General features: G+C 40.2%; 1 annotated feature.

Moving 5' to 3' along the window:
• Window positions 13,939-14,233: a silencer, noted in NCBI's record as "tiled region #15585; HepG2 Repressive non-DNase unmatched - State 24:Quies". NCBI's record gives its function as "represses a minimal TATA promoter and a strong SV40 promoter by Sharpr-MPRA in HepG2 cells {active_cell/tissue: HepG2}" and the evidence as "EXISTENCE:reporter gene assay evidence [ECO:0000049][PMID:27701403]".

The raw sequence follows: 25,198 nt of genomic DNA, 5'->3' as shown, positions 1-25,198 counted from the left end.
TTTTGTGGTTTCTGAAAAAGTTAAACATAAAATTACTATATGATCCAGCAATTCTACTCCTGGGTATATACTCAAAAGAATTGAACAGAAGTACTCAAACAAATACTTGTACATGAATGTTCATAGCAGCACTATTCACAATAGCCAAAAGGTAGAAACCACCCGAATGTTTATCAAAGGATGAATGAATAAACAAAATGTGGTCTAGCCAGATGTGGTGGCATAAGCCAATAATTCCAGCTATTCAGGAGGCTGAGGAGGAGGATTGCATGAGGTCAGGAATTTGAGACCAGCCTGGGCAACACAGTGAGAACCTGCTTCATAAAATTAAGAAAAATTAAAAAAGAAAAAGAAAAAGGAAACAAAAACAAAATGTGGTATATACATACAATGCAATATTATTCAGTCATAAAAAAGAATGAAATACTGAAATACACTACAGCATGGATGAACCTCAAAAACATTATGTTAAGTAAAGGAAGCCAGACACAAAAGGCCACATATTGTATGATTCCATTTATCAGAAATACCCAGAACGGAAAAGTCCATAGAGACAGAAGACTGGTGGTTGCCAGTGGCTGGGGGTAGGGAGGATTAGGGAGTGGCTGTTTAATGTATACGAGGTTTTCTGGGGGTGATGAAAACCACATCTAGTTTTGAAACTAGATATAGAGGTGGAAGTTGTACAACATTGTGAATGTACTAAATGCTATTGAATTATATACTTTAAAATGATTATTCTTATGTGAATTTCAATTAAAAAGCAGGGATTTTCTATGTTTCTATGTATATATACAAATATATATATGATATTTAGAATTATAAATTTTAATAAGAATAAACCCTTTTGAACATAAGTTAATATAAATTATTTAGTTGGACAAATAATTTTACATTTTTGTAATAACTATAACTTTCTTGACTCATAAAACGTTAAAGCATTCAGATTAATTAGGCTTTCCTTGAGAAAATAAATCCAAGTTTAGTATAAGCTAGAGTATTATTTTTTGTATTGTGATGAAAAAACAAGTAGAATATAATCATTTTGAATGAAAATTTTTACCTGACACAAGACTATATTTTAAACTTTTAGATAGATTTATACTTTATACACCTCTAGATTTACAAACCAAATATTAAAAACTCTTTAAATTGTGTTTCCGTCCCTTAGCATTCCTTTGTTTTTTATCTTGTAACCTATAACCAAAGCCACTAATTTATCTAAGAGTTAAACTTTTTTGTTCCTCTGAAGTATAGATTTAGCAAGCTTTTGCAGTTTTTTCTTAAAGAACTTTCATATTGAAAGCATTAAATTTGATTTTCCACATTCTTTCTGCAATTAATTTTACACTTATTTTAAACCTTTAAAATTATTATTTGAAATTGGTAATTGTTTCTTTGGTTCTCTATGCCAATCGAGACAAGTCTTCTGCTAAACATAAGCAACTTTATCATGTAAGTAGCTCATTTTCTCCTCTTTGATGTTAGATCTGACTGAACCAGTTAGCCATAGACCACACACAAAATAAAAGAGCTTTATAACCCACTAATCACTGAAAGTTTTTTGAGAGATGAGGAGAGAGAAAAAGAAAAGGAGAGGTGGGAGAAGAGAAGGGAGGGGTAGCCACAAATACAAAATGTAGTAAACAAACTATATAAAGGGAGGTTAATCACTTTCATTTTGCCAGAAGAGAAAGCAATTCTTTTTTTCACACAGGAAAAGAACTAGTAGCTTCATGACTTTTCTAACTTCAGCTGGAGGTAAAAAATAAACACAGAATACAAAACTCATGGATCCAGCCTTTCCAGATCTCAAAAGGCTGTTTGCCTTTTCAGTAGGCGCAGGAAAGTTTCTTGAGTGATGGAAGCTCATAGAAGAAAAGTTTGCTTTGCTGGTAAGTAGCCATCAGCACAGTTTCCAGAGAATCTGAGAGGGAGAAGATAGCCAAGGCTTTTGCCCCAGTTAATTTCAACTGAAGCTCATGAAGATTAGTTTACTGTAAGTTAGGTACATACTTGTACATGGCCTGATGGTTCTTTCCATATCAAATCTTGTTGCCAGCTTAGACTATTTCTAAAACATGTCTCTTCAATTTGTAGAATGTTTGTACTAACATTTCAACAACAAAAGATGTCAGACTCCCCACCCAAAGAAACAAACAAAAAAGATGGGTAAACCCCTTCTGTTACTTGCCCCATTGCCCCTGTTAATGTCTTTCAGCCATTAATAGGGAATTAATTACTGCCCTTCCTCAAACCAGAAATGGAACCAGACTTGATCTAGAAATGAAAATAGAAACAACTCCAGAAAACTACAGTTAGGAAAGAAAAAAAAAAAAGGCAGTGATGGTAAAACTTTATTCTTGTGTGAGATTCATTTTAGAAACCAGAAGACTTGTCCTGGTTTAACGGCACATGTGGTAAATGTGGCTCTTTGGTAAAATAGTTTAGTCGGCTCAAGCAGTTAAGGGTGAGGGTAAAACAAACAAACAAACAAAAATTTTTTTTAACAAAACTAAGGTTTATAGGACCTGCTCAAGTTTTTCTTGAGGGCCATAACTAGGCAGAAGGACTGTGTTATTTTGGGTTTATCTCAAGGTGCAGCTGGTCTTCTTTTTTCCTATTTTATGTCATGTATTTAAGATGGCAGCAGGGGACAGTTAGTTTTGGGGGATATGACAATGTGAAGTGTTTTCTGGAGTCTTTGGGATCTCTAATCACACCTTGCAAGTTCTCCGAAGAATGAACAAGTCTGGTATGGTTTGGATGCTTGTCTCCTCCAAATTTCATGTTGAAACATGACCTCCAATGTTGGAGGTTGGCCCAGTGGGCGGTGTTTGGGTCATGGGGTGGAACCTTCATGAATGGCTTGTTGCTGTCCTCCCCGTAATGAGTGGATTCTCACTCCACTAGTTCACACGAGAGCTGGTTATGTAAAAGAATGTGGCACCCCTTCCTCTCTCTCTCTCACCACATGACACTCCTGCTCCCCCTTTGCCTTCCCACCATGAGTAACAGCTTCCTGAGGCCTCACCAGAAGCCTAGCAGATGCTGGCACCATGCTCGTACAGCCTGCAAAACCATGAGCCAAATAAACCTCTTTTCTTTATAAATTACCCAGTCTCATGTATTCCCTTTATAGCAAGGCAAAATGGACTGACACAAGGTCCTTGCAAGAGAAAGGTGCCAAAACTGGATTTAAAAAAAATGAAGAAGTCCTGAAAATGATGGCATGGTGGCAGCTGGCTGTTGTGACCTACAGCTGGACTTTGTGGGGCAGGGCTTCCCAATCCTGGGTATACATTAGAAACATCTAGGGAGCTTTTAAAAAAATAACAGTCCTCATGTCTCACCCTTAGAGATCTGATTTAGTTCTCCTGGGGTGAGGCCTGGATATTGGTTTGCTTTTTTAAAGCTCGCCAGGTGATTCTATACGCAACCAGAGTTGAGAACCAACATCTACAGCCCCCAGTTTTCCAGAAGCTGCTTGAATCTACCCAAAGAGAGTCTACCAAGCTTCTGAGCCTTCTTGTATGCTTTTAAAGCTGCATCAACATATTTTCCAAATCCTGCTGGAGAAACAGGAAACCAAGCTTGTGTTCCAATTTGTAAACCTAAAGTAGGGCACCCTAAGGGCAGGAGACAGAGTCTGATCCCAGGAGCTGGGAAAAATAGTTTGGTTACAAGTATTTGAACTGGGAAGAAATCATTTTAAAAAGTCCATCAACCATCAGGTTTTGGTCTTTGAAATGAATTTACACTCTTCTGTGGGACTTTAGTGTTTGATCATTCAGATCAACAAACATATTTATTATTCACTCTATTCCATGCTTGTTTGAAGCCTGCTGTTTTCCTCGTAGAAGAGGATATGGAGGTGAATGAGTCTTGAGGAAGCTCTAGAACAATATTTCTCAAGTATGCACAGTGACATAAATGTTCAGGGAAAAAAGAAATTTGCATTTAGCTAACTCTAGGAGATACGGCGTATTGTTCTCCTCCTCGTGATTCATAATGCACATTAACATTTTAAGGGATCTAAGAAATTCTACACTAATTAAATGAGCGGTTTCCAGATTTCAGTGACTAGGAATTATCTCCCTTTCTTTTTTTTTTTTTTTGTCCTTCAGGTAACAGCCATTATCATCCTGCAGAATTAGTGGTCCATGAAATACACTTTGGGCAATGCTTTATTACAGGATTTTATCTCCAATTTTTTTTTGGTGGAAGGGGGAGGTAGTGGGAAATAAATCTCCAATTTGTGTGAGAAATAAATGCTTCATACTAAAGCATTTTTAAAGCCTCCAGCTCGATTTAGGGGGTTTAGCCAGGAGCCATGGCTGGAGGTGCTGTCAATGGAGGTGATTATCCAAGGCCTCCATTTTGGTGTGTGTTCTGTGGCACTGTGATGTGTTTGTGGCCATCTCTGCCACTAGCCTGTGTGATACTGAAGGGTGTGATGTGTACCTGTGTTGAATGAATGATTCATTCATTTGGCATTTATTGAGTGCCTCCTGAGAGCCAAGCCCTACACAAGAAGATAAGACTGTGCTTCTGCTGTAGTGAGCACCTGAGCAGGGTCATGTTCCTCTCCACCATCCTAAATTTCTAGGCCCAGGAATTGAATGTGTCTCACTTGTTCGAAGAGATTAATATGTAGCAAGGGGCCTGGTTGAAGCAGAGTTATTCTTTGCTGGAGACTAGTCATAACCCAGTCTCCCCAGAGAATCTGAGAAAGAGAGGCCAGGCGGGACTCTGTCCTGCTTGTGCCCCAGTTAATCTTCCACTGGGACTTCCCAAAATTGGCTCATTATAACTTAAATATTTCCTTGTACAGGGCCTGATGGTACTTCTTTCTATATCAGATCTTGTTACCAGCTTTGGATGATTATGAAACATGTCTCTCCTCATTTTACAGGATGTTCGTATTAACATTTCTACAGTATACATTTTCAACATATTATTGAAATTACTTTTATCTTCCACATTGTTTCAGTGACAAACGATTTGCAAGATGATAAATCTCAGAAAGCAGTAATGTCAAGACGACAGCAACCTTATGCAAAATTCATAAGTGTTGCCTGGAAGAAGTTAGCAGCGACCAGAACTTAAAGAAATGCTATTATAAGTATTATCATTACTGTAGGTGATCATTATTAAATGACCATCTGAATACTTTTGATATTGGCCACAATAATTAATTGCCGTGAGTTAACTAGTCACTATGCATTTGTTGAGTGCCTCCTGAGAGCCAAGCCCTACACTAGAAGATAAAATAATGGGCAAAACGATTCCTGCCCTTGGACTGTTTCTAATCTAGTTAACAAGATGACTTTGAACAGAAGCAATAAATGTATGCAAAAGCAACTCAAAAGTAACTGATTGAGGCTAAATGACACATTTGCACTTAAAGTGTGGAGACCAAAGAAGGGGTCAAGAGGGGATGAATTAATCAGAAAACATGGAGACAATGAGTTTTAAAGGAGAAATGGTGGCATTTACAGGTAAGGAAAATAAACCTCTAATATATCTATTTAATGAATTATTTAGAACAGCACTTATACATCAAACAAACAAAAAATGTTATTTTTCAAAGATTTGCTTATGCCTTTAATTTTTGAAGTGGGAATGTAAGTGAGAGGGGATTAGGGTCTTAGGAATGTGACACCTAGTGCTGCCATCACTGAGGTCCAATCGGGAATGAAAAATGATTAAGTGGAAGGGTTAAAACCATTTAAGATCATAGTTCCTGTCTTATTGACTAAGAGGAAGAAATAAAGCACTGGCCCCAAAACAGCAATATGTAGCCCAAATCTGTATTTCTTTCTGAAACTCACAATGGAGGCAAATATTTTTCTCCAGACCCAGGATTTAATGCACCAGAACTAGGAAGCAGTTTAAAGACTATAATGAGGAAATTGAATCTGAGCACTCCCTAACCCTTTCAAGATTTTGATCACTTTCTAAATTTAGTCTGCAGAAGGTGAAATTCTTGTAGCAGAGAGCAGTGCTCACTCTGCCCTGTGGCTGCTGAGATGTTTATAGTCCATATGTTCAGGTGGAAATTTGATGTTGGAGTTAAAATTAGTGGCAAACACCATAAGCGGGCCTGATATGAGAGCTGAGGGGAAGAAAAATTAGGAGAAAAGAAGATAAATTAGGAGATATAAAGAATTGCATCTTCATGTCTTCACAATTCTGTTCCATGCAGAAGAAATCCAAAAGACAAATTCAGGAAGGGCTTGCACGCTCTGAGTATATTGGTTTTCCTAAGTCATTTTAGATACTGTGAGATACTAAACAAATTCTATGCAATCCTCTGTGAAAAATGGAGGATTCAGAAAAAGAAAATAATTATTGGCTGCCCCTTGATCATTGTTGGGGAGCAGATTGGAAAGAACAGATTGTTTATATTTCCTAGTCTTTCTCTTTGACGATGCTCTCAAAAGTCACAGATGACAGGACAAAGTGATACTTAAAGAATTGGTTTGTAAATTGTTCGAAGACTCTTAGTGTCCAGGCTACTAAATCTTTTGTCAAGGCTAAGGTTAATTCAAATCTTGGGACCACCTTAATCCCTTTCCCAGAGCTCTCTCTTTGAACAGTCTCAATACCGGCAAATCTTCATCCTTTGAAGGGTTATTCTGAGGATTAAAGGGGATAGTATTTCTAAAGTGCTTCATGCAATTCCTAGCCCTAAATAAGTGGAAGGCATTGTGGGTTTTTTATTTCGGCTATTATTAATATTAGATTTGAGTTTTTGCAAGCAGTGAAAAGCCATTTAGGGGAAAGTCTGATGAATAAGGAGAGGCGGGTGTGCGGTCAGGCCAAGATGTGGTATTTGGAATCCAAAATGCAGGCAAAAATGGTGCGATTTATGTGGTTCATAAGCTGAAAGTTAAAAGTTAGGTTTCGCTCAAAGCTACTAGAAAAGAGAAAGTTTCGAAAATATCTTGGAGCACGTCTGTGCATGCTCAAGGTATCAGGGTTCATTTGTATGTATACTTCCCGGTGTGCTTTCTGCAGGGCAGCATTGGGTGTTTACGGGGAGTTTGAAACCCATCAGGGAAGTCTCTGTTGCTTAGGTTGTGGTTGCAACAAGCCCAAAGGTTCACCTTGCTCCTGTCTAGTGCCTTCTGGGAATAAAGAAGATGCAATTATCTCTTGTGAACAAGCCCAGAGGAACAGCCTCCAGAGGTGGCCTCCCTTTTGACTTCATGATGCAAGGAGTTTGGGTGGTCAGACATACCTGGATTTGAATTCTGGCTCCACCACTTCCTAGCAGTTGGGCAGATTCGGTAGTCATTCTGAGTTCACTTATCTTTTCTAAAAAATTGGGGCAGGTAACACAATCTTCAAAGAAGTTTCTGATTTTGTTTTTATTTTTTGTTATGAAAATTTTCAGAAATCTAAAAAATTCATCAGAATAGTATATATAATAGTATATATCGTAAGCACCTGTGTATTCATAACCCTGGGTTAACACCTATTACTTTCAGCCCATCTTATCTTTTCTCCACTTTAACTCATCTCCCAACCCCAGATTATTGCAAAGTAAATTACAGGTATCGTGTCATTTAATTAATAATTATTTTAGTTGGAACCTCTAAAAGATAAGGTCTGTTTTTAAAAACTGTAACCACAGTGCCTTTGTCACACCTAAAAAAATGATTAGTAATTCCATAATATCAAATATAAGCTATCAAGTCAGTGTTCAAATTTCCCCAACAGTGTCATAATAGTTTTAATAGTTGGTTCAAATCAGCAGTAAAATAAAGTCTCTACATTGCAACTGGCCAATATGTTTCTTACTATGACTGAGACAGGGTCTTGCTCTGACACCCAGGCTGGAGTGCAGGTGGTACAATCATGGGTCACTGTAAGCTTGACCTTCTGGGCTCAAGTAATCCTCTCACATCAGCCTCCCAAGTAGCTGGGACCACAGATGTGTGCAACCATGCCTGGCTAATTATTTAAAAATTATTTATAGGGACGAAGTCTCACTATGTTGCCCAGGCTGGCCTTGAACTGGACTCAAGCGATCCTCCCACCTCTGCCTCCCAAAGTGTTGGGATTATATGGTTGGGTGAACCACCATGCCCGGCTTTGCATGGCTCTTTTAATCACAGATTCTCCCTCCCTCTCATTCTATCACCTTGCTATTTCTTCCTTTTTATTGAGGTAAATTCCCTTGCAATTTGTTGTTTGTCTTGTAGAGTTTCCCACAGTCAGTCAAGAGTTGCTTATGATCTCTAGGAATTGGGTAGTCCTGAGACAGGCAGTCTTCCTTGGTCAGTAAGAGCCCAGGGGATTTAAAAATGTAGGTGATATTATTATTCAGGGATGGTTAGGCAACAGATCAGGAGAGGATGGGTTTTGAAGATAGTCTGTTACTCACAGTTCCCAAGAGGAAGTGGCCACACAATGCCACTGAGGGGCTTATAGGGAAGTGTCAGGGTCAGTCAGAAGGCAGACAGTGTGAAAAAAACGGGGCAAGAGTTTTTACTGTGGTTTCCATGGGAAAGGCAAGATAGGGTAAACAAATTTAGAGTCAGATAATTGGAATAATTTCACCGGGTCCTGCAGTATAAGGACTGTCTCCGGTGGTCTGGTATCTGGGCTTGGGGTTATTAGGGCAGGAGAGTATTGGTCTGGAGTGTAAAAGCTCAACAGGGGTTGTAGGCGTGTTGTGGGAGGAGGTAGGTATGGCTTTGGATTGTTGCTTTGCATACGAAATGCATGATGCATGCTTGAGAACAGGTGGTTTATTATCTCTAGGAACTGTGTGGCCCTGGAACAGGCAATCCCTCTTGGTCAGTAAGGCCCCGGGTATCAAACCATCAGAATAGAAAAATACATGCTTAATACACAAGTTGTGGCCTATTGCATCCCTATGATGTCATTTTGTATCTTTCTCTGGTCCTATATTTGCTATAAATTGGTAATAAAATATAGAGGCTTGTGTGGATTCAAGTTCTATTTTTTGTGACTTCCACCACAAAGAAGGCAATATTCAATTATCTTCTTTTTTCTTATGGTAGTAGCATTTGATGAGCAATAGCTACATTTATTATTTAATTAGGGATTGCAAGAAAATGGTATTCTAATTCTACCATTCCTTCTTCATTTATTAGCTTGATAATTTTTTCTGTAAAGAGAAATGTCTCCTCATCTACTATTTGGTATCTCAGAGAGACAGTCTGTACAGGAAAGGTAGGCTAAATACTTAATTCTTTCCTTTTATTTACCTGTTTTCAAAACTATTGTGTTGGTGTTAGCATTCTCTGAAAGTGACCAGTGGGTTCGTTTCATAGGTTTAAACATATGCCATTTGTTTCAATCCATTGTAATTATTTTTCTTATTGATATTGAAATTGTTCTATTTTTGGCCACTGGGAGCTTCTGCAAGCTGCCTCTTGACTCCCTTTGACATAACACCAGTGGTCTTTGATAACTGCCTGTCTTTTGGAATGAGAAGAGTTCCAGGCTGATGTTAAACACTTCCCATCCCACACTTGGAATCAGCTGTATCACCAATGATCCATGCTGTTATTGATGGAAGGTGCATTTAGAGGCTATCATTACATTGTTTTCCAGTGCTCATTGCTTTGAAGTTGGTTCTTGTTTCAAAGGCTTTCTCAATGGACAAAGCAAGAAAATCCGTGTATAGATAATTGGCTTACATGTTTATTACTTCTCTTTTGACCATAGGTTTCCCCTCTCCTTTTTTCTTTTTTACTTAGGAATATTCTCCTTTCAATTTGGTTAACTTCATACTGATACTTCCAACACAAATTCAGGTTCTCAGGCTTTTAAAAACTTTTCCAATAATACCTCTGCATCACCTTTTTTGTTGCAAAAAATTCTGGCACCCATCTCAAACCAATATATTTACTCATTTGCTTTATCTAAAAAAATACAGAAAACACTAGGGGAATAATGATTGCGGCATTACCACCAATGATGTGATAACCAAAAACGTTTTAATTTTGTAATAGTTCTTCTTGTGTTTAGGTTGTATTTTGTAAGGATGTCCATTTGGATTTGGTGTTTCGGACTCATTGAAGTCATCCCTTTCTGTATGGGCACACTGCTGGCTTGATTCTCCCAATGAGCCCATTCACTTTCTGTACTTTGCTTTAGATTTTTAAGGGTTGCGTGTTTTTTAAAATTAAAGTGTGGGGTGCAGTCAAGGTGTATTCAGAAAAAGCCAGCTTTTATCTCAGCCTTCTCCACCCTATTCCCTGTGCTCCCATTGTTTCAGTTTTTGGTTTATCTTTCAATTTTTTCAGTATAAGCAAATTTTTAAAATATAAACAAATATTTATTTCTCCTCCTCTTCTAAGATATGATCCATACTTCTCTCCACCTTGCTTCTTTTCACTTAATACATGCTGAGAACTACTTCATAGGAATATTTTAAGTACTAAATAAAACAAAAGTCCACAGTCCCTTATCCATAGTTTCAAAATCCTCAAAGCTTTTAAAACCCAGAATTTCATTATAAGCTTGCAGCAAATTCATTCGGAAAAAAAAATCAAATCTAAACACGAATAAAGTTGTGTATTGTCTTATTTTTTATGCTTATGTGCACATTGACACATTTTTGATGCTGGGGTATTTAATATATTCGCTTATGGGCCCAGCCTCATACCTCAATGGAGGTGTTAAATAATAATGGTATGTGCATTGTATTACCTTTCAGAAACCTGCAGGTTATGAGTTCTGAAATTTATCTGGCTCCCAGGAGTTCAGATAAGGCATTCTGAACCTGTAATACATAAATCTTTCATCGGTAACTTTTAATCACCTTTCTTTCCCCAGCAATTTTTTGTAAAGGATTATGACCTTAATGCTCAGTGTCCCATTTTATAGTAGCATAACCAGATAAATATGATTCTCACAATACAATTTAAGTGAGAACCAGAAACCCATGGATTTTCCTTGCACAAGCCAATATTGGCTATGGTTTTAAGACTTCCTTCTAGATAGGGTGATTTCAGGGGCAAAGACTTCTGGCTAGAGAATTAAAAGAGTTACAATGTTAGTATTTTGAAATTTTAAGATAATTATGAAGTAGATACATTTTAAAGAAAAACGTGGCTAGAATATGTTCACAGAGTTCTCAGATTTTGCTGACCTCTTTTGTGTTATAGTATCATAGAATTTTGAGGTGGAAGGCATATTGGTCACTGCTGGTAGGCATCTTTCAGAAAATCTAGATTGACCATGACTTGAACAAGAAAGCTTTTCTAACACTGCCTGTTGCTTTTACAAGGGAACACTGAATTTATGGTGCTTATAGCCGGCAGGTATGAACTATAATTATAATAATACTGCTCTACTTCACTGCCAAGTAGCTTTTGGAATTATTACATCACAGGCTTTATATAAGAAGTAACATAAGCCAAACTTTTTCACAAGTGGGGAAAATGGAGTTCTCTTATGATAGGTTGTATAACACTCCCAGTAGTTGCTGCCTATCCTTGTGAGAGGATGATGTGTCTCATTGACAGGGCCATTGGACTTGCTCTGGCCCACAGACTGAGTGGAATAACGTGGGCTTCTTCTGGGAAGAAGCTTGAAGAGTCGGCATGTTATTTTCTGTGTGTTCTCTTCCCTCTGCCACACAACTAGGCAGGTCTGGGACAGAGACTTCTCCAACAGCCTAGGTCTGAGGGTGAGGATGATGGGGTGCAAAGCCACTGCTACCCTGTGACAGACACGTGGCGTGAGTGAGAAATAACCTGTTGTAGTTATAAACCAGTGAGGTCTGGGAGTATTTTGTTACCACAGCATAGCCTAACTTATACTGACTGATACCCTTGCTAGGGTCATGCAGCCAATAGCTAGATGTCATGGGGAGCCCCAGTGTCCAGACGAAACCCTTGAGTTTTTGCTAGCAGGTAGCAGTTGCCTGCTTGATTTTCTAAAGCTCACTTTCCTTACCTATTCTAATTTCTGAAATAGCTTGAGGCCCCTGATTAATATTCATGAAGTTCTTTGAGATCCTACGCATACAGCAAATATTAAGTACTAAAACACCAGTATCTTTAGATATAGCAAGTGTTAAGTATTATAATCGGGCCCACCATCAGATGGGGAGTGAAAACAAGGTGACTGAGTGATGAGTAATCTGAGAAGAAGAAAGATGAAAAGGAGACAAGAGGCATATCATGATGGATGAATTTGTTTGGTATTTTAATTTTCCTTGCTCTGAACTGACAGGGAGAACTTTTGAAAGAAAGGTGCTTTCATCAATCTTCTCATTTCTTCACCGGAATAAGGAGATGGGAAGGATTCATTTCATGAAAAAATGACCACTCCCAGGATGGAATTTTTAAAAGTTTAGTTTGTGCACCTCATCTTTTTGTTCCTACATGCTCATACGAATATGCTGGCTTTGGGGGTTGAAGGGCCCCCCTCCTCTCTTTTTTCTCCTTCTCCTTTTTCTTTCATTTTTGTAAAAGAAAACCCTGGCCGGGCGCAGTGGCTCATGCCTGTAATCCTAGCACTTTGGGAGGCCGAGGCAGGCAGATCACGAGGTCAGGAGATCGAGACCATCCTGGCTAACACGGTGAAACCCCATCTCTACTAAAAATACAAAAAATTAGCTGGGCGTGGTGGCATGTGCCTGTAGTCCCAGCTGCTCGGGAGGCTGAGGCAGGAGAATCGTTAGAGCCCGGGAGGCGGAGCTTGCAGTGAGCTGAGATCACGCCACTTCACTCCAGCCTGGGCAACAGAGTGAGACTCTGTCCCAAAAAAATAAGAAAGAAAACCCCTAGGGCCAACCTATCACACTAGTACCATGTCCGTATCAGAATGTGTAATTATAAAGGCCTTCATAGCTCTGGGAGTAACAAGTCTTAGATAGATTATGGAATTGTATATCCTCATTGATCAAATAATTGTGAGCTCCAGCATGTTTATTCCATGATCTATGGATATTTGGAGATATCAACTAAGAGTGGGAGAAGATGTGTTAATCAGGAAGCCGGGAGAACTCTGCACCTTCTAGAAATTCCGTTTAGTGCCCCCTGTTATCAAAGAGATCTCGAGTCCATGTATCACATGCCATCTTGCTTCTATTTCTACTGAAAATAAAAATTGCCTGAATAAAAAAGCCATGCATATGTACTAGGATTCTATACACACTTATTGAATGCCTACTGTGTGCCAGACTTTCTAATACTTATCCCCAAAATAAGCAATTTGGAATAATTTGGGGATTGGCACAAGATTCTGAATTGTCTTGGACCCAACTCATAATTACAGAACAATGGAAGAGATGGGAATAAAAGCATCAATTTGGCTTTGCTTATAAAATCTCAATTAAAATGTGAATTGAGAAGGCAAGAAAGACCCACAGATAAGCATCCAAATGGAAAAGGATCAAACTGGGTGCTGGTGTAGGGGAGTGTGTGGAGCTTTGTAAGCTGTCAGATGATTTATCAACCTTTGGGCAGCTAAGTGGCCAGGATCAGAGATGGAGATTCACCAGCTGAGATACTCATGGACTCACTGACTCACTCTGAGAACTTGTATTACCAGGTAAAACATGCATTTCTTTTGAAGGATGATTACAGTACAATGACTATGATGGGCCACATTCTAATTTGTGTGGAAGTTCCAAATAATGCAGAAAAAAAATTAAGAACATGGAGCAAATATATTTACATTGACCACCAGTGTTTTACTCTCTAGTTCTGACATAAGTGTAGGAGAAAATATACTTAATTCCATCCTGGTGTCAGCACGAATTCAATTCTTTAGTCACCTATAATTTGAAGACAGCAAAGTAACCTTTCCCTTCCATCAGCTTTTTTGCTGCTCATAGATGTTTGAACAGGTATGAGAGAAATAAGTTCTGGCAAGCAGTAACTTGCAACTGCAGCTGTTCCCATTGTTTGCGGATAAAAGAAGACAATGCAAGTTCAGTCCACCACAACAGGAAGCCTATTGGCTGTTGTCAGTAAAGCAAGATCATGGACCAAAAGGTAATTCTTCACCGAGCCCTAATTTACTGTTTAATGACTTCCCCATAGTAGTCTGGAAGGCACAGGAACCCATGTCTTATGTCAACAATACTTCTCTGCTGAAACACTAATTGGCCAGAGTCAATGGGATTGGCTGGGGCTGTTCCTGACTGTTTTGCTGAAAAGGCACCAAAGACAGAAAGGCATTCTCTCATGGGGCCAAATCAGGTAGGTTTTGCATATTGTTGTTACAGAATCATTTGGGAAAGGGGCTGGGAAAAGAAAGCTAGAGCGGATAATTCATGAAAACATAACCAGATAAAGCCCTGCCCTGACATCCAATGCCTCTGCCTCCCATTCCAAGTAAAAGATTTCTTCTGGACCTCTTAGGGAAAGGTGGCAGAGCCATCCATTGATAGAATTTAAGTCCTGGTAGCACAGCTATAAGAAGGCTTAGATGGCATTTACATTGCTGAGATTTGTGGTGGCGTGAGCTACGCAAAAACATAAGCAATTAAAGAAATGGTAATGGAAAGTTATCGCAAGACAATTTAGAATTTCATTAAGAACTAGAGGAAAACAGGTTTGGGGTCAAAGAATCACAAGAAAGAATTCTTCCATGTTGAGGTAAAGAGCTGATAATGTTTGATGATCTCACAAGGCCAACTGGCCATGCAAGCTTTATTTTTTTATTTTTATTTTTATTTTCTTTTGAGACAGAGTCTCACACTATCACCTGCGCTGGAGGGCAGTGGTGCCATCTCAGCTCCTGCAGCCTTCGCCTCCCGGGTTCATGCCATTCTCCTGCCTCAACCTCCCAAGTAGCTGGGATTACAGGCACCCACTGCCATGCCCAACTAATTTTTTGTATTTTTAGTAGAGATGGGGTTTCACTATGTTGGCCAGGCTGGTCTCAAACTCCTGACCTCATGATCTGGCCACCTCAGCCTCCCAGTGCTGGGATTGCACATGCATGCATTTTTAATGTATTAGTTATCTATTACTGTGAGAAAAATTACTACAAAACATAGTGTCTTAAAAACGCACACACACACACACACATACAACTCCAAACATCTGTTATCTCACACAGTTTTGAAGGTCAGGAATCCACAGATGGTTTAGTGGTTCTGGGTTAGGATCTCTCAGGAGGAGGTTGGGATGGGAGGACCTGACTTCATGGTGCCTGACTCACACTGCTCTTGGCTGAAGCCCTCACCTATGTGAGCTTCTTGCTATGTGAACTTCTCCATGGGATTGCTGTAGTGTCTCACAACATGGCAGCCAGCTTTCCTGAAAGAGAGTGATTCAAGAGAGTGAGTGAGAAGGAAGTCACAATGCCTTTTATGACCTCTCAGGAATCTCACATGCTCACTTCTGTTGAAGGACAACCATGCTCAAGGGGAGGGAAATTAAGCCCCACCTTTTGAAGGCAGGAGTAGCAAGGAACTTGTGGGCATATTTTAAAACTACTACAGTAACGAATCAAAGTAAAGATTCTATCCTTGTGTAGCAAAAAGCTATTTTTGATTATTTAATGTGAAAAAGTGTTCATTTATTCTCCATCATTTAACCTTGGATTGATCTCCCTTTGCTTATGTAATAGGGTACTGATATGGTTTGGATCTGTGTCCCCACCCAAATCTCATGTCAAATTGTAATCCCCAGTGTTGGAGGTGGGGCCTGGTGGGAGGTGGTTGGATCATGGGGGCAGTTTCTCATGAATGACTCAGCACCATCTCCTTGGTGCTATTCTCGTGATAGCGAGTGAGTGAGTTATCACTAGATCTGGTTGTTTAAAAGTGTGTGGCACCTCCCCCACCTTCCTCCTGTTCCAGCCATGTGAAGCGCTTGTTCCCCCTTTGCCTTCTGCCATGATTGTAAGTTTCCTGAGGCCTCCCCAGAAGCTGAGCAGATGCCAGCATCATGCTTCCTGTACAGGCAGAACCATGAGCCAGTTAAACCTTTTTTTCTTTATATATTACCCAATTTCAGGTATTCCTTTATAGCAATGTGAGAACAGATTGATAAAGGTACTAAAGAAGAACCTCCTTTTAGGTGAAAGGCGACTAGGAAAGAGTGAATGTGTCTGGCTTGTTTAAAACAAAAATTGGAATTTCCCAATTGACTTATCTGGGCAAGGTTCTAGCAAAAGCCATTCAGGAGTCCCAGTAGAGAAGCTGCATCAGAGCCACACCATGCCCACACAGTTTGATTAAATTCTCTTGGCCACTTGGTGGTGGAACCTGATTGTGTTTGCTTCTACCCTTGATCAGTAATGGTGTCTGTTCTGTGTTGTGTATGTACTTTCTGGGACCAGAAATTTGGGAACTGGGAAGGCATGGCCAGACATGGAGTGTCATGTTCAGTGCTGAGGAAAAAAACAATAACAAAACAAACAAAGCCAAGCCCATCTGATGGACGTGGATGGAGACCTGTGGCTGTGCCATGTGCAGATTCCCCAGAAGACCCCAGGGCAGATGGAGAATGTGCTGCCCATGTCCCCTCGGACCTTACCACTGCAGTGCAGGCTGGCTGATTTCCAACAGTCACCTCTGCCTGTCTTTGTTTGAGGGCTTTCTCTAGAAGCTGGAGCCCGATCTGCCAGCTTATATTAATGCTTCTCAACAGCAGCCCTCAACTAATACCTAATGAGAGCTGGTGCATAAATCCCCAGCTCCCTTGTCCCTCAGGTGGGATGACTCAGAGGCATGCGTTTTACAGTGGCTTCTCAGCACTTCCCAGTGGGATGGAGCTCCAGTTGCCCGCATCGGTAACTGGCTTGACCACGCACACTTCATCAGCTGCCTTCTCTTTTCTCTCCATGCCCTCCTTCTTTTACTATGTTTCCTAGAACCACCTATCACACAAACTACTTGCATTTGAACAGCTCCTTGAGACAGAGTCTGCTTTTTAGGGAACCCAAATTAAGACAGTGAATGACATGACCACTGTCTTCAAATGTTTGGATGACTGTCTTGTGGAAGAGTGATTAGATCTATCAGTCAAAGAGGAGACTTAGGACCACCAGATAATATTAATAGTTATTAGAAGGTGGGTTTAGTTTAGCATAAGGATATACTATTATTATTATATCCTTATTGTAGCATGTACTATTACTATTTGCTATTTAGCACATACTATTATTCTGTAGTAACTCAATATGTCTACAGATGGACTGCCTTGCATTGGAAGGTAATATACTCAGTATCACAGAGGTCGGTTAGCCACCAGAGATCTGTGATTGATATGGAGCCCAAACCAAAGAACTTCTAAGGTCAGAGGGAGGTTTCCTGTCAAGCAAATGAAACGGAAACTTCCACCTCCCACTCGTGCAAAGGATCCTTGTAAGTCCCTAGCAAGGTGTTTATTGGACAATCATTTCTGTAAATTTGCAGATCTTTGAATCACAATTTATGAAGACCACTGTCTGTTTCTACTTCAACTTAGTTTTATTCCGTGACTCTTTTGAAACAAAATTGATCAGAATTCTGGGGCTTGTAGGTAACATGTGTGCAGCAGTGCTGGAAATGGATACAACCTTTTGTGAAGTTGCATGTTCTTATGCATTTCAACATATCAGATTGAATTTTAGTGTATCTGACACAGCTTGTCCTGACAAAGCATAGTGGTTCCAGATGAAACAGCATGCAAAATTGCCACTAACACAGCAAAATAGCGGAAAAAAACAAGGGACAATATCAGAAAAGAAGTTTCAGTGACAAAACTCATGCACTAAGAGTAACTTGATAACACAATTATGTCACTCTATACAATGTAACAGCAATTACAAAAGTATTCTGATTTAGTGCATTCTTTAATTTTAGATTGTTAATTTTTTTTCATACTTATGAACCAATCAAAAATTTAAACATGACAGGAAGGAAGTATCTTAGCGGAAACCCAGAGTGTAACTTGAAAGAAAATGGCTGTAGTATTCCTCAGCTTTCGAACATTTATAATCTGTTGAGATCTCTCTTCTCTTTAGAAATAAATATTCAGTTTTATACCTAATTTTGCATTCATAATTTTGCATGCATGATATTTCTTCTCTGTTTCTTTTATTTACAGGGGCTCACATTTAACTGGAGCCACCTCTATCTGAGGTATGTTTTGGTTCTGAGATTCTGAGTCATGAATCTTGATTCTAGGAGCTGCATAGTAACCATGCTCTTGATGTATCTGATTAGGATTATTTTGTGGGGTGGAATAATGAGATGTGTGACCCTCTAGCTCAAAATGCAGAGAAAATTCCCAGTAATCTTTAAATACAATCTTAGAATACAATGCCAAGGCCGAAGAGACCCTCTGCTATCTCTCTCTGTCTTTATTCTCTTGTCCTCCTGGGGGGTTGCTAGGGGAATCATTTTGGGTGCCTACCCACATTCTCCACAAAGAATTTTCTAAACTAAAGAGACACTGTAAGTGTATTATTAAAAGCAATAAAATTAAATGGTAAAACTATTCTTTTGAATGCATTCAAATTTATATAATACTGCCCCAGGGATGCAAGGCATTTGATGATAATACGAAAACATATGATAATTTATTAATCTGAATATTAATCAGCATGAGGAGAAAACTGAACAGTAAGACAAAATTAAAATTGACCAGTTACAAAAATGCATTATACATTCTCTGAATGCAAAGGGCTAAGGTTATGTTGGTCTAGAGAGAGAGTCAGCAAACTATGGGGTTAAATCTGCCCCTGCCTTGTTTTGTAAATAAAGTTTTATTAAAACACAGCCATACTCATTTATTTATGTATTGTCAATGGCTGCTTTCATACTGCAGCTGCAGAGTTGGTATGACAGAGACTGCATGGCTGGCAAAGCCTAAAATACTGACTGTCTGACTTTTCACAGAAAAAATTGGCCAATTCCTAGTTTAGAGGTAAACTTTGGGCTGGGTAGGTCTCTGTGGAAGTTTGTAATAAGTATATATGAAAAGAGAAAATCCTTTTTATATTAAAAAATTTCATGAGAATCTTAATTCCATATGGAACTCAATGAAACTACTGTTGCTCCAGTTAGAGGAATTTTGAAAATTTAAAAAAAAATGTTTTTGGCAGTGAAAGTCATGAAGCTTCTCTATGTTCGGGTCAGACTATTAGTGATGACGGCAGCAGGAGTGGAGAAAGAACTGTGGTTTAAAAATAAGGCATTTATATTCTTTGCACACCTCTTTACTGAAACTGCGGTTAAGATAGAATGAACTTACCCTCCTCACCCAGGGCTGGGGGTGCTGCTGAAAGTGCAGAACTACTTTCTGTATGAGGACTCCGGGGCCACCTCATAAGCTGTTCCTCCACAAGCTTAGGTCCTGCCTACATGCCTTTTTGGTAAACACTTGAGCTCAGCTCATCCATCTACCTTTCCAGTGTCAGCAACAAACACTCCTCCCTACGACCCCATGAATGAGTGCACATCTGTGCAAGTATGTGTGTGTGCACATACACACACAGACACACACACCCACATGCATGCATGCACTGGACTTTGACTGCATGAACTTCAGAGCTCTCTGACGCTATTATATGTGAACGTCACTGTACTAGCTTCGTAGAGCTGCTGTAACAAATATCCCATGAACTTTCATGTCTTCTGCATCTTTATTTTTCTGATTTTTGTGCCTCTTGTGCCTATTGAAACTCCACTCATTCGCCCCAAAAATCTGGTTGTGGAGATCATTAAGCCACATTTATTTTATCTTCCTTGGAGCATGTTTGAGAAATGCGCTCTTCTGTTTGAGTCTGCTGTTTCTGAGCTTGCTTTCTGCATGCCTTTGAGTGAGTGAGAAGAAATTCAAAGCATTCAATTAGTGGGCCTCTGGTACCTGGGCCTTCTAAACTACATTTTTAATACTTAGAGAAAAATTCTAAATTCTAAATCCAAGGGCTAGAGTCTGCAACTACAGGGAAGTTTTCTGACTCGTTTGCAGGCAAGAAGTAATGTCTTTTTAACCTCTTCGACTATAACTTCACTATAAGCTTTATCAGGGCAAAGTTACTGTTTTATTCTTTGAGTGGCCACTGAAGCCCCCGAGGGAGTGGCTTGCACAGGAAGGCATGTTACATGTGTTTATTATAAGAAAGAATGAATGAACATGAAGGATGGATACAGAGGAATACTTGGTAGGAAGGTGAGCTATTATATTTAGAGTGTGGTATGGCTTCAATGCTTGTCCCCTCAGAAACTCATGCTCAAACTTAATCCCAGTGTGGCAGTGTTGAGGGGTGGGGCCTTTAAGAGGTGATTGGGTCGTGAGAGCTCTGCCCTCATGAAGGGATTAATCAAGTCATGGAGCAATGGATTGCTGGATTATCATGGGAGTGGGACTGGTGGATTTACAAGAAGAGGAACAGAGGTCTGAACTAGTACCTGAGCATGCTCAGCCCTCACCACGTGATGTTCTGACCCACCTCGGGACTCTACACAGAGTCCCCACCAGCCAGAAGACTCTCACCAGAAGCACCCCCTTGACCCTGGACTTCCCAGCCTCCAGAACAGTAATAAATAAATTTGATTCCTTTATAAAATGACACAAGAGAAGGCTGGGTGTGGTGGCTCATGCCTGTAATCCCAGCACTTTGGGAGGCTGAGACGGGTGGATCACGAGGTCAGGAGTTCAAGACCAGCCTGGCCAAGATGCTGAAACCCCATCTCTACTAAAAATACAAACATTAGCCAGGCGTGGTGGTGTACGCCTGTAATCCCAAGTACTCAGGAGGCTGAGGCAGGAGACCTGCTTGAACCCCCAGGCAGCAGAGGTTGCAATGAGCCGAGATCGAGCCACTACACTCCAGCCTGGGTGACAGAGCAAGACTCTGTCTCAAAAAAAATAAAAATAAAAATAAAATAAAAATAAAATTCATAGGAGACTCCAAACAGACTAATAAAATGTGGGTATTCTATTATAAGCAACAGAAAACAGACTAATACAGATTGCTGCCTGACATTTTAGTGGCATATTAAATGACTCTGACATGTCTGACAATTTCTCTTAGCTTGTTTGTCATCACTGCATCCTCATCAGCCAGTACAGGGCTGCTATCTTGCACAATCAGGTACATTCTGTGCACAGGCTGACCTGCCATGTACATTCTGTGCACAGGCTGACCTGCCATGTGCAGCCGGCCTGAGCTAGTGCTAAGTGCATAGGTTGCAGGGTACACTTTCCCAGATTGGATTCCCAGCTTTAGCATGTGCTAGTTTATCAGTTCTATAAAGTTCCTTGAAGTTCTTCAGACCTCTATTTCTTCATCTCGAAAACTGGGAGAATTAGACATCATCGTGTTGTTATGAGGATTCAGTGAGGTAAGGTATGACACCCAAGGCAATGACAAATGCTTAACAAACCTGCTTTTCGTGGCATGTGTTTGTGGTTAGCTGTGACTCTTCACTAGAGACATTTGCTACTCTAAAGGATCTTAGAATAGATAGGGTTTTGATGCTATTGTATGTGAGTGTCACTGTATTAGCTTCCTAGAGCTGCTGTAACAAATTACCACAGACTAGGGGCTTAAACCAGCAGTCCCCAACCTTTTTGGCACCAGGGACTGGTTTCATGTAAGACAATTTCTCTAATGGCGGTTGAGCAGGGGATGGTTTCAGGATGATTCAAGTGCGTTCCGTTTACTGTGCGCTTCATTTATATTATGATTACATTGTAATATATAATGAAATAATTATACAACTCACCATAATGTAGAAACAGTGGGAGCCCCGAGCTTGTTTTCCTGCAACTAGATGGTCCCATTTGGGGGTGATGGAGACAGTGCCGGATCGTGAGGCATTAGATTCTCATAAGGAGCTGCAACCTAGATCCCTCACATGCCTAGTTCACAATAGGGTTCGTGCTCCTATGAGACTCTAATGTCCCCGCTCATCTGACAGGAGGCGGAGCTCGGGCTATAATGCGAGTAAAGGGGAGCGGCTGTAAATACAGGTGAAGCTTTGCTTGCTCACCCGCTGCGGTGCAACCCTCCTGCTGTGCGGTCCATTATGTCCGTGGCCCCCGGGGTTGGGGACCCCTGCTCTAGAGGAGAATCCTCCCTTGTCTGTTTCAGCATCTGACGGTTGCCAGCAATGCTTGGCTCATAGCTGAGTCACTCTAATCTCTGCCTTTGTCACCACACGGTCTTCTTTCCTCTATATCTGTGTCTAAACTTCCCTTCTGTTACAAAAACATCAGTCATTCGATTAGGGCCTGTCCTGCAGTATGACCTTATCTTAACTTGATTTAGTTCCCTGTTTCCAAATAAGGTCACAGTCACAGATACCAAAGGTTAGAACTTGAACGTATCTTTGTAGGGGACACAGTTTAACCCACAGCAGTCAGTGATCATGAATATGGTGTAGGGAGGTGGCAGGGAGGAGAAGATTCTCCCCAGGGACTTGCAGTATTACCTTAGACGCATCCTTCAAACAGCTTTAGCCCTGTTTCCTCATCTGTACCAGCTGTGAAATGCTGGCTAATCAGATAATGTGCTTGCCCGGATCCCTCCGCTTTAATACGTGGTGATTCCATGAACGATCTCAAATTCCGTATATGCTGAACCTGAATTCATGAGGTTTCTCTGTAATCGGAGCCTGACTACTGAAGAAAGCACTGCGTCTGGCGTGCAGAGGCAGGATCAGCCAGGGTGCCTTCACTTGCTGTGCTCACCTGCCCGGTATCCCGGGAACAGCTCCCTGATAGCAGTCTGACAACGGTGGAGGCCCTTTTCACAACGAAACGCGTTCTCTATTTCTTCCTTTCATTCCTAAAGCACTGAAATTAGAACGTATTTTATTTTTACAAAACCTGCCTCCATTTTAGTAGATTGATACAGGGTCCAGCTTTGTTTCAATCACTACTACTGGCAACTATTTTTTTTTTTGGACAGGGTCTCATTCTGTTGCCCAAGTTGGAGTGCAGTGGTGCAATCATAGCTCACTGCAGGCTTGAGCTCCCCAGTTCAAGCCATCCTCCCACCTCAGCCTCCAGAGTAGCTGGGACTACAGGTGTACACCACCATGCCTGGCTATTTTTTTTTTTTTTTTTTTTTTTTTTTTTTAGTAGAGACAAGTTCTTGCTATGTTTCCCAGTCTGGTCCAAAACTCCTAAGCTCAAGTGATCCTCCTGCCTCAGCCTCCCAAGGTGCTGGGATTATAGGTGTGAGCCGCTGTGCCCAGCCTATTGGCAACTTTTGAATACTATTAAGAGCCAGGATAAAACACACCGCTTAAAAAACAAAACAAAACAGAAAAGCTCACACAGGAACTTCAAATGTGTCTGTGTTCATTCTAAGTCTTTTGAAGCCCAACTCTTCTGGGGGTAACACTGATGTCCATGTGGTTCACTGGCTAAAAATGGACTCAGAGATTCATATCTCATGTGAACCTGAAATAAGGGGAAAAAATCCTTTAGTCTAGCAAACACTCCATAAAGAAAAATATTTGTTTCAAACTTATAAGGCAATTGAACATATTTTATAGCCTGGAAGAACCCTTAGGGTCTCCCTAAAGCTTTATTGTTAAATAACTTTTAAATCCCAATGCTATTGAAGTCTTAGAAGTTGCAGTTTTTATTATGAATTATGTTATTACCTAGGAAATAACCACCAGAATCACATTCTTTGTAAGAATTACATTGAATACAACACAAAAGTGTAGATTTTTCTGCATAGAGACATTACACAACATAAACTTATAACAAATTGATTATGCAAAATTTTAAAAATAACCAAATCAAAAGGCTTTGCTGTATCAATATTTCTAGTAACTATATGCTGTATTACATAGAGTAAGAACTCTATTTTGCCTTTCTATTAAGTTTTACAAGTGTGGCTTAATATAATCATAGTCAAAATAGAAACGTAGAATTTTAATCGAGAATGATAAAATGCTCTGGAATCAAATAATGAGTAAATCTCACAACTGTGTAATTAATTTCTTGATTTATTAGGAAAGGGTTTGGAAAGGTAAACTTCAGCATGGCTCCTATTAATTTAACACTGATTATGAACTGGGGCATCTGAATTAATGAGGTTTAATTTTCAGTGAAACTTTATTTTTGAAAAAATTTGTTTTGATTATATTAATTATTTTGGTTGCATTCAGGATGTCTCCCCTAACTGAAAGTGCTTACTCATAGTAATCAAAGAAATTACCCCAAGGATCGTAATATCAGGGGCATAGTTTTTAAAGACATGCCCTGCTCATATTATTTGTGATTCTTGTGGGTTACTTTAATCTCAAGTTTGTAGTTTGTTCCAGAGCAGTCCACTCCCTCCCGATAGCTGGGCAGTAGAGTGGTGCAGCCTAACGAACTTGCACCCTGGAGTCAAACAGACCTGACTCCAAGTGCTCTCTCCATGGCTTCCTAGGACATAACCTTGGCCTTCCTTAACCTTGCAAAGGCTCATGTTTCTTATCTGTAAAATGTGTCCAACTTCATAGGATAGTTAACAGGATTAAATGAGATAAATCCGGGAAGCACTCTTTAGTGCCCTGTAGAAATGTTAGCCAGTGAGATAGGCCAGCACCAGGTCTTGCTCTTCTATCCCTGGCAGTGTCTAGCACTCATAACTGGCTTAGAAAATGTTTATTGAACAAAACTGAGTCACCATTATATATGCTGGAGGGTTCATGGAGGTAAAAGGAGATGTGATAGTTGGTTCAGGTGAGATGACCTCACAGAGCCCCTTTAGGTTTAATGCTAGATGAGCCTGTGTGGTATAACAAGAAATAGATATTTGGTCTTTGCTCTGGGTTCCTGGCACTGAGCTCTTAAAACCCTTGGGATTTACTGGGTGACAGTGGTGATAGGAATCTCTTGTGTTATTCATAAGGAGCCTCTTTCAACCATACCTGAGTTTATGCTGATGACATAATTCTTGGTGGCTCCTAGATGGGAACTGGCTGCCAGAAAGGCTAAGCCTTGATTAGAAGTTGGAACTTTCAGCCCTATTCCCCAGCCTCCAAGGAGGTGTTGCATCCTGACTCCATGGGGACAGAGGCTCCCCAGCTAGGGACCCTTTCAGACCTCACCCTGTGCACCTGTTCATCTGGCTGTTCATTTTATCCTTATAAGAAACTATATTGGTAAGGTTAGCATTTTCCTGAGTTCTGTGAGTCATTCTCACAAATTATGGAACCTGAAAGCAGGGGCCACCTAAAACCCTGCACATTTGTAGCAAAGCCAGACAGAACTGTAGCAAAGCCACAACATTCCATTTGTGA

This window comes from Homo sapiens, chromosome 18, assembly GCF_000001405.40.
Source record: "Homo sapiens chromosome 18, GRCh38.p14 Primary Assembly".
In the NCBI taxonomy this organism is placed as follows: domain Eukaryota; kingdom Metazoa; phylum Chordata; class Mammalia; order Primates; family Hominidae; genus Homo; species Homo sapiens.
The sequence above is the reverse complement of the archived record's forward strand: the minus strand, read 5'-3'. Positions and strand labels throughout refer to the sequence as shown.